The sequence below is a fragment of the Homo sapiens genome, chromosome 11 (genome assembly GCF_000001405.40).
Source record: "Homo sapiens chromosome 11, GRCh38.p14 Primary Assembly".
NCBI lineage: Eukaryota > Metazoa > Chordata > Mammalia > Primates > Hominidae > Homo > Homo sapiens.
The window spans coordinates 49,828,523-49,839,330 of NC_000011.10; the positions used below are offsets into that span (position 1 = coordinate 49,828,523).

The 10,808-nt window shown below is 35.0% G+C and overlaps 1 pseudogene; it reads right to left on the reverse strand.

Moving 5' to 3' along the window:
* Positions 4,444–10,808, reverse strand: TRIM51FP (tripartite motif-containing 51F, pseudogene; annotated as a pseudogene).

A 10,808-nucleotide genomic window follows, 5' to 3' on the forward strand; every position in this document is an offset into this window, starting at 1 on the left:
ACTTTAAACTTCCTTTTATCAAGAACCACTGAGTTTACAACAAATGAACCCTCAAATACCAAACTTGTAGATAATTTTTGGAGTTCTTTAATATTTTACTCATCAAAAGATGAGAAAGAGGATACCATCAATTTATGATTTTAAGAAATGTCTTCAAAAGTCTGGAATAGTTTTTCTCCCTTTTCTTTTTGCTTTATTTTTTTCTGTTTTTGGAAATGTTTTGCCTGAAGTTGGCTTTAATTCTAATAGTCACTGAACTAGACTGGAAATGCACTCTGCTGTTGCCTTTGAAGCTTGATTTCAGGTTTTAATGTATTACTGTCAATTTATATATATATAATATCTTTTATATATTATATTTTTATACATATATAATATATTATATATATTATATATTATATGTATTTTATATATATTATGTGTATATACACACACACACACACATATATATTTATATATATATTCTGGTTCTGTAGCCTAGGCTGGAGTGTGGTGGTGCAATCACAGCTCACAGCAGCCTTAAACTGCTAGGCTCAAGTGATTCTTTAGCCTCATTTTCTCACAGAGCCAAAATTACAGACATGAGCCACTGCACCCAGCCTATTAATTTATGTTGTCAATAAAAGCATAAGAATTATCTTTATTACAAATTAAGAAACAGAATATCTTTAAGGAAATATTATATCTTTTAGGAAAAATAAAATCTTCAGTAGTTATAGACTGCTATGAAAACTGCTGTTACCAATAGCAATTTTGTGTACGTCTATATGACAGATACACATGTAAATATATATAATACATACATGAATTTTTTCACATTTGGCAATCATTTAAGAAATTCTTTTATCATATAAATTCTAATTTATATTGGTAAAAGTGAAATAAGTAAAATTTGCTGTTTAGTGAAAACTGTTTAGCAAGTGAAATGAAGCTGCAGAAAGTGTGAATTGGATAATAGATATAAAGATATGTCATGAAGGCTTCACAGATGGACAAACAGAGGTAAACTAGGAGAGTGATAGTGACATAAGGAGGATGAGAGTATCATGTATGTCCTTTATAAACAGCATAATGTGTGATTGACTGTAGCACACAGTAGAGCTAAGTAGAGAAGATGAGGAGAGTACATATTCAAGGGTATAATGTTTGATAATTTTTTCAGAGTAAGCAAATGAATGGAATTCAGGAAGCCAAACAATCCCCATTTTGGATGTATAAAACATAAATTTACTTTGTTTTGAATGTGTAAAACAATATATTTTGGCTGATATTTAGTATTTCTCTGTCTTTGTTGGCTGATTCATTATAATGTGTTTAAGCTTGAAACCACCACCAAAGATGAAGAATCTCTTAAAAGCAGCCAGAATAAACTGTTTCATTTTGAGGGAACACTTAATAGAATGACAACAGACTTCTACATAATCATAAATGTAAGTATAAGACAGTGGACTAATATTTGTAAAGTGTCAAAAAATGTGACTGGCAATACAGAGATGAATATGGATTGGAAATATCTTTTACATAAGAGGATAAAAGGAAGATCTTGTCACATAAATATAATAAAAAAAAGAGGCTTTATACCCTACTAAGGACTTCTAGAACAGTACCCATGAGATCTACTTGAAAGATAATTCTAACACCTCTGCCACATTTGAATCTGGCTTTATTAATTACTTTTTCTCTTAACACTGTGTCCTTTATGTATCTTTTCTGTTTCTGTATATGTCTGGTAAGTTTTACTCAAAAAGTGAACTATGTAGAGTAGACTAATATAGAAAGCAAAACCGGCATGTGTTCCCTTTTTCTAGCCTGTATGTGTGTGTTTTGAGGGAGAAGGTTGAATCAATCTAGTCAGGAGTTGATTTGGTTTTGAGACTTGTTCTTCTTAGAGTTGATTCCAGTGCACCATAGGTTTCCTGCTTATCTAGCATTACTTTGTTTTTCGGATTGGACTGGTTCAGCAGCTTTCCTCAGTATCTGCTGTATCCTCAACTTTAAGTTTCCCTCCAAATTCCGCTCAGTCCCCCAGAACGCACTGCTTTGACCTGTTACTCAACAATTTTTTGCCTAGTTGGGGTGGTGATGAGGATGGAGATGCATTCTCTGAGATTCTGATGAAGCTCAGTCACAGGTTGACACTGTTTCTGGGTCTTCATGGTTGGAACCTTCTTAATGATCCTGTCCAACCTTCAGATGTAGGTCTAAATCCTCCACATATTTTTTTCCTCTTTTTTCTTTTCCCCTTTCCAAAGTTCAATTAGTTTTACCAGCATCTCAAGGGCGATGGCATTCCATATATTTCCCTTTGTACTTTTAGGTTTTGTTACACAGGGGAGACGGGGAGGTAAATACAGGTCTTAAAATGTGATATTCTCTGAATCTCTTCACAGACTGTAAAACAAATGTATGTGGCACATATACACCGTGGAATACTATGTAGCCATAAAAAGGATGAGTTCATGTCCTTTGTAGGGACATGGATGAAGCTGCAAACCATCATTCTCAGCAAACTAACATAACAACAGAAAACCAAACACCGTATGTTCTCACTCATAAGTGGGAGTTGAACAATGAGAACACATGTACACAGGGAGGAGAACACCACACACTGGGGCCTGTCTGGGGTGGGGGTCCAGGGGAGGGATATCACTGGGATAACTACCTAATGTAGATGACGGGTTGATGGGTGCAGTAAACCACCATGGTGTATGTATACCTATGTAACAAACCTGAACGTTCTGCACATGTACCCCAGAACTTAAAGTATGATAATAAAAAAAGGTTTATGTCTTAATGTTGATGTTAAATTATCATAAAGTATATACATATGCATTTGAAAAATTAGGCAAAACAACAAATTCATTTATTTCAAACTTCTTATTTTATACATGAAAATACCATGTATATATATGTGTGTGTGTGTGTATATATATATATATATATATATATATATATATATATATATATATATAATTCTCTTCTGCATGAAAAATGCTTATAGTTTCTCTCATTGATTTCAATGCTTCCTGTATCTTATCCTGGTTAATTTTCAAGTTTCCTAACCATTACCTTCCAAAACATTATTCAATATTCTAACTTCTAGCATGAGTTAATGGAGTTCACAATTTATCTAAATAAAACACTGTAATATAACATTTGTGTGTTTCAATTCTTTTCTTAAACTTCTCTTTGAGATTCATTAATTTGTTGCATTTCGGTGTTATCTCTGTTTTGTAAAATTATTTTGTACAATGAGATCACAATTTATTTAGCAATTCTACTGTTGATGAATATTTATTTTGTCTCCAATTTGGAGCTACTATAAAAATTGCTGCAACGATCAACATTGTGTTTATCTTGAAATACACATAGGCAGGCTGTGGAATATATTTTAGAATGAGAATATGTAGCCCATAAGGAATGCTCATAGTCAGTTTGCCAAAAAGTATTTCAGTTTGTATCCCTCCAGCCATGAATAAGTTTCATCATTGATTCTTTATCTTTCACAACACACAATATTATGTGTTTTTACATTTTGCTACTTTTTATGGAGGCCTGTGGTTCAACTTATGGATTAATTTTTATTATTCTGAGGACTAATACAAGTAATCCCTTTTTCATATTTGTCCAGATATTTATGCCTCCAATTTTATGAAGTGCCTGTTCAAATATTTTCCCAATTTTATATTGGTTTCATTTTCTTTTATTTATTACCTTCATTAATCACATGTATTATATTTTATTGCATATATGTTGGGATAAATATTTTTCTCCACTCTTGGTTTGCATTTTAATTCTTGGATGGTATATTTTGAAACACAGAAGTCATCATTTTTGATATAAAGTAACTACATTTTTCTTCTTAATTGTTCCTTTTTTGTCCTGGTTAGGAAATCTTTCTGTGTGAGAATATTTTATTGTGTTCCCTTCACCTTCAGAACATGAATCCATGTGGAAATGCACTGTGTATGGTTTGAGGTAGGGGTCAGTATTCAGTTTTGTCCATTTGAATATTAAATTGATCCAGCATTGTCCTGATCCCCTTGTAAATTTCACTGTAGGACATCACTCTGATCATGCACGAGTATTTTGAATATAAGATGAGATTTACAAAGATAAGCACAGCATAAGAGGTCAAATAAGATTACCTCAAAGGATAGTTTCATAAATAAAACACATCAAGAAGTATAATATTGTTAGATGAAGAGAAAGAAAATATTTCCAGGTTACCACTGAGTCTTTTTACTCCAAATTTTTCATGAATCCCAAGATCTCTACTTTCTTCCATTGATTTTAACTTCATTTAGACAACTCTTTCCTCTATTATTTTACTTTGTGACATTCAGAAATAATTAAAAACCAGAGAATATATTCTATGCCATAAATCATGGGTGATGATTTTCCAAAAATGATTTAAAAAGGAACCAATACACATGGTTGCAGTGTTTTCACCATATTTAATAGAAACACTATAAATGAGTTTTGATGACATTAGAATGCAACTAAAGACATTAAATATAACTTATTTATCCTGTTTGATGAGGTGCGAAAAAAAGGCTTTCTTAGCTAAACAGGTTCCCAGAGCATATAGACCCATTTCTGACTTTTCTCTGGTCAGAAGTGACTACAGCAAAAGATAGGCCTGAGAGGAGGTGAGAAGGAGCAATTAGGGATGATGTATATCAGGAAACTTTGATCAACATCAACAAAGCTCATGATTCTACCTTCACAATCCAGGAATAATCCTACTGTGCTGGTAGGTTTTGGAACATATTGCACCACAAGTGGGGTGGTGGTAAAGAGACTGCAGTGAGTGTCCTCCTTAACACATCCAAGAAGAAAGAGTCCCTCCTCTCCATCTATCTTGTCATTCTGTCTCTTCTCTTTCCAATAATTGTTACAGACACCAAAAGCCCAATTCCAAGAATCCCCCACGTGCACCTCCCAATAATATTTGCCAGATGTGAAAGCCTGAGTCCCCCATACAAGAAAACATTCAGATTTTGCAGTGATATCGGGATCATCTTGAGGGTCACATCCAACATTCATGCTTCTCAAATCTCCATACAGGAAGATATGACTATTAGCTCTTTCAAGCCGCAGAGTAAAATCAACTGCAAAAATAATTTTTTAAAAATATAGATACATGTAATTAATAGAAATTAGAATTCTTGAGGGAAAAGTTGTTCTACCAAGAGTTTACTTTACCAAGAAATTGGAAGTTACAAGGACAGGAGAATTGTGGCTACAACATTTAATAAAGTATAAGGATGCTTATTATTCTCTATAGGAAGAACAAAACCCTAAAAACAGACATTGAAAACTTAAAAATTGAGAGTGGAATATAAGACCAGCCTGCTTTAATCCAATCTCCAATGTAACAGTGAAATACTTTATGCCCTGAATGCCCTTTAGCTATCAAGGTCATTATTATTAAAATATTTCTTGTTCTTAAATACTAGGGATATAATTTTGGCAAAAGGGGAAGATTTTAGCTTACTCAAGCACCACTCTAGATAACTGGATAAAAGTCCATATGTTCAAATTACAAGTGATAACTTAAGGCCGATTTATGCAAAATCTTTTACCAGTCACTTTGCGGACATCACTGCTAGCTCTAGACCGGTACCGAATTTTACATTTCACACGTAGCTCTTCGTGTTGTAACTAAACTGAAATTTCCATTTTTACTTCCTATTTACATAATAATTTCTTCTTTCTTTTTACCTGTTAAGTCAAAATTTTACATTACATCAATAATATATATTTATTGTAAGAAAGTACAAATACTCCAACAAACTGCAGTGAACTCTATCCCCCAATGAAATGTGTTTAACAATTCAAAGGAAATACAGTAAAGAAATGTAAAATTTTTATGTAGCCTTGGATTATTATGCTTCCTTCTGAGCATTGTTCCATTTATTCAATTTTTTATTTCTTATGTCATTCCATTTACCCAATATAAGTCTATCCATGTGAGCCCAGAACATATTTGTTTTTCACTATGTTTTACTCTTCAGGTTATAAATTGGACTATAAAAAGAAACAGATATAAAAGGATTGCATCATCATATGGTTCACTTCCTGCTGAAATGAAATAAAGATTTGATGAAGGGTAAAATATTACCCCCATGATTCTAACAAGAAGTAATACACTGTGGGAATTCTGCCGACGGGCTGACACTTACCTCTGAATCCACTGAGCCTGTCCAGAAGTCCAGTGATGGGCCCTGCACTGAGCTCTGGATTCACAGGCTCAGACACTTGCAGCAGCAGGGACTCATACCTGCAAGGAGAAAGATACAGCTACCACATCTACAGCCAAAAAAAATACATAAAAATCACCATTTTCATTTAAAAGACATTTCATGAGAAGCCCTTTAACCCACACATTTGCTAATTCCAAAATTATCATTTTCTTTTTCAAATTCATTCTTATTCACAGTTCCTGATTTTCAAGCACGATGGTAAAGTCTCTCTGACTGAGAATTCATTCGGATCTTTCTTTGTATTGCTCCAAATTAGTAAGGATCATTAGTCTTAAGACTGGGAGAATATTCAAAAATGAAATTCTGGGTTCCAGACCTCACCAGAAATTCCTGAAATCACTGTCTGGAAAAGTGGGGTTATTTTTAAGACTGCTGCATCTGTTGCTTCCTTCTCAAGGCCAGGGTGTTGAAACGTGCTCCAGGCAGGGAGATCTGCCTTTTATAATTGAGGTTCTCTGGAGGCCCACATGATTCAAACATTCCGAATAGTTTGTTTCATCTATTTTTCAGAATTATATATTGAAATATAAACTAGAAATCATCAACAATTTTTGCTGCTAAAATACTTTCCCCTTTTCTCTCTGGCTTCCCCTGGTTGACTTTGTAGCCATGTAGTAAATGTGATATTTTCTCTTTCAAATATGAAGGCTTTTGAGCAATAAAAAGGAAACTAGGAATAGAGATGCTCACTTCCTTTATTTTCTTTCATTGATTTATTTTTTTTCTCTTTCTTATTTATTTATTTATTTATTTTTGGTTTTGCACAACTTTCATTGAGCTGCTTAATAAAATCACTGAGTATGGCAACAAAATAGATGACTACATGGGGTGGGGGATGGAGAAAGTACAACCAGCACAAGGTAGTATCAATATCTGAATCAATTTTACCTTCAATATCAAAGTTCCTGCTTGATATTTGTGGAAACTAAAAGCATCTGCAAAAATCTTGGTATGCACTCACCTTTGTAATATGTTTCCAAAAGACTGTAAAAAAAAAAAAATAGGCTTAGTGCTTTCCATAAGACGCACCTTCAACTAAGTTCATTGTGAGATACGGAGACAGTTTCTGAAGATATTATTTTCCTACAATGTTCCCTCCTGGAAAGCATTTTCTGTTTCTTTTCTCATGAAAATCCCAGTCTATCATATGTCACGAATTAATGTCCTGATAAAGTCTAAGTCTTGCAGACATTCTCTTTACAAGTGAAGGGAGAGGAGGCCCACAGAGTCCATGCTCTGCTGTAACCATAAAGAAGCTACTCAGTCATCTACCCTAAGCCCTGTTACCAAAATGAGTGGACCACAAAATAATATTAGTGTGATCCTAGATTCCCCAACTTCTCCATCATGCCATGTCTCCAAATTAGCCTAAATGCCAATGAATCACTTCTCATTTTATCCACGTTCAAAAATCCTAAATAAATCACTGACTTTTGATGGGAAATATTTCTTGGGGCTGTCTGTTACCTTGGCCATTCCGCAAAGTGTTGTTGCTGGTGGATAAAGTAAGAGGGACGTTCGGTCTGGTAGAATTACTAGGAGAGGCTATACCCTCCCAACCAAGTAGCTATTAGCTATCGAATCGTGTTTTTGGAAACAAATCATGGAAGTAAAGGGGGAGACGGATTTCAGGAGAGAGGAAAAACATCCATGCACGTGAATCTTCAACATCATGATACCCCACGGTCAGTCCGTACCTGGAGTAGCTCCACATCTGCTTTATGGCACATTTGCTTCAGATCCTCATACATTCCTCTTAAAAGCTCCCTGGAATGTTCCATTCTGGCTTTGCTTTCATTGAGTTGCTGAAAAATATCCTCGCCCTCCTTTCGCAGCCTCTCCAAGTGATGTTGCTCTTCTTCACGGAGAAATGCAAGCATCTTCTGATATTCAGCTCTGATTGCTTCTATCCTTAAACTCACATAATCCTGCAGTGACAATTAGTCAAAATAGAAATGTTTTATCCACCTTCTCTTGAATTTCACTGATTCCTCTTAGCATTCTGAACACCCAATATTTTAATCCTCAATCTTGTCAATTCTCAGATTCCACAAAATTTTATTCCTTTCCTTTTTTTCTGTACTAATATCACATAGTTGTTTCTGCCCAGTTACATTTACTTGATTAATGATAAAATGTTTTCTAAGATAGTTATATAAAAATGGATTTCTCTCTTCCACACCACATTTATAGAAAGAAAACACAGTTCTTGCTTAAGAATCAAACTATTAGTTATATTGACTAGGTAAGAAACCATTATTTCTATTTTGGAGAATTGGGGCAAGTTATGTAAAACCATTATATGACAAATGATGACATGACCCAGACTAGCATTGTCAACTCAATGCATTTCACCCAGCATCACATATTCTAATAAGGTTTCATTTATCCTCTTCCAAACTCACCCTAATCGGCAACATGGGCTTCTTGGTGGTTCCTCAAACCCCCAAATAAATGCAAATTAAATATTACTGCACATGCTGTTTTCTATGCCTAGAATTATTTTCATATATATATAAATACATGTTTCTCATATATGTACTCATATATATATTTCTCAAATATAGGTATATATGGATATATGAGGAATATATACGTGTATCTGTGTGTGTATATATATATTCCTCAAATATATCCATATATATGTATATATACCAACACCCAGGTACACATATATATTCATATATTTATGAGGAAGAGAAAGGCAAACAGGAGGATATATATATTTCCTCCTGATCAAGATTTTGTTTCAGTGTGAATTTTTCCATGAGCCTTTTTTCTAACCACCCTATTTAAAACTCAAACCCTCATCCCCAGTCCCTGGCCTCTGTGCTCCTTTTCTACTTTCCTGCTTGATTATTCTCCAAAGACACTACTACACTCTAACACATCATGTACTTCACATATCTGCATGGTGACCATTTGCTTTTCTCATTTCCATTGCAAGATTTGTGTGTTTTCTTTCTTCTTTACTCCTTAACTTTCTAAGTTGATATTTGACATAGACTAGGTACTCATAAAATATCTTTCAATGAATTAATATTAGAGTAAATTAATGAATTAATATTAGATATCATACCCTCAATATAAACATCCACAAAGAGAAAATCATTTCTAGAATTCTTCTCAAGTCCTTAGAGTTCTCCTTATATTAAATACTAGTTCCCATATTTCTCAGATATTTCTGTCTTCATCAAGACACAAGTCTACATTTCTTGCCACTTTTCCCATTATGTGTTATGACTTATTCAATTTTAATTAGTGCTGATATTTAATTTCATGCTTTCCCTAAGGTTGCACTCTTGCTCCTTCTGCCTAAAATTTAGCTCACATTTCAATATGCTTGCCCACCAGGATTCAAATTCATACTGACTCAGCCTTAGAAGGGTCACCTGAAATTTCCATGACTGACAAATAACTCTTGTGTCCAGAATTTATCCAGGCAGCCCATTGGGAAGCATGTGAAATGGCTCAGTTTCTTGTATTTGTTGGGGGTATTGCTATAGGTTTGTATGGAAACAGATGAGCATGCTTGGGTAACATCTGTGGTCTGATTAGAAATCCTACCAAAGAGTCACACTAACTTATATAAAAAATTAGGGTGTGTTTTTCTCAAGTGTTTTTTCCTTGTTTATTGAATTCCAGAAACATTGTGGGTTGAGATCAAGTTTCTATTTTAAGAGTCACCCATTTGTTCGCTATAAGTTCCCAGAAAAGGTGGAGTAATACGGTACTAAACTTCCAGCATCTGGTTCTGGTGGTTTCCATGTTCTGGTTTCTGAGATTTTCACAAGCTTTTTCCCATAAGCACTGCATTTTTTTTTAGGAGCTCCTCCTGCAAAACAGCCATGAACTGAAGCACAAGTGAGGACAATAAAGTATCATTCACACTCTGATATACGAAGGACCCAAAATGAGAGACAAATTAGCCCACAGAAAAGAGAGTTTGCTTTGTTTCTCCTCATGTTTGTCAAATCTGAGAGGTGTGAAGTCAAGGAAGCTCATAACGGACATGCTTAAAGGGACACAGAGATGGCATCATCCAATCTCCAAGGAAAGAGACTTACAAGAATTTCATGTGTCCTGTATAGAAATAGATCTTCAGAGGCATCGCTTACCCGGTATTCCTCAGCAGCCAACTCAATGGGACAGTGTCTGTGATCTCGGTGCTCCTGAGAGTTGGAGCACAGAAAACAGAGCAGGCTCTTGTCCACTTCACAGAACACCTTCTTTTTGTGTCTGTGCATCCCACATATTTGCTCCTCAGAGCTAAGGAATTGCCGGAGGCTGGCTTTTCTGGCAATGGAAGCCATGTTCTTCAAACAAATGTCAGTGTTGAGGTTTCTCTGCCGTGTTGTCTTCTTGCATTTAGAGCACTGGGCAGGAACTGCCATGTCTTGCCAGTTGAGGTACAAACAGGACCGGCAAAAGCTGTGCCCACAGTCTATGGTGACTGGGTCTAGGAAGTAGTTCATGTAGATGGGACAGGTGAGTGCCCTCTGGAATACTTGCGAGATTCCAGAATTCATGTTTCTGAAG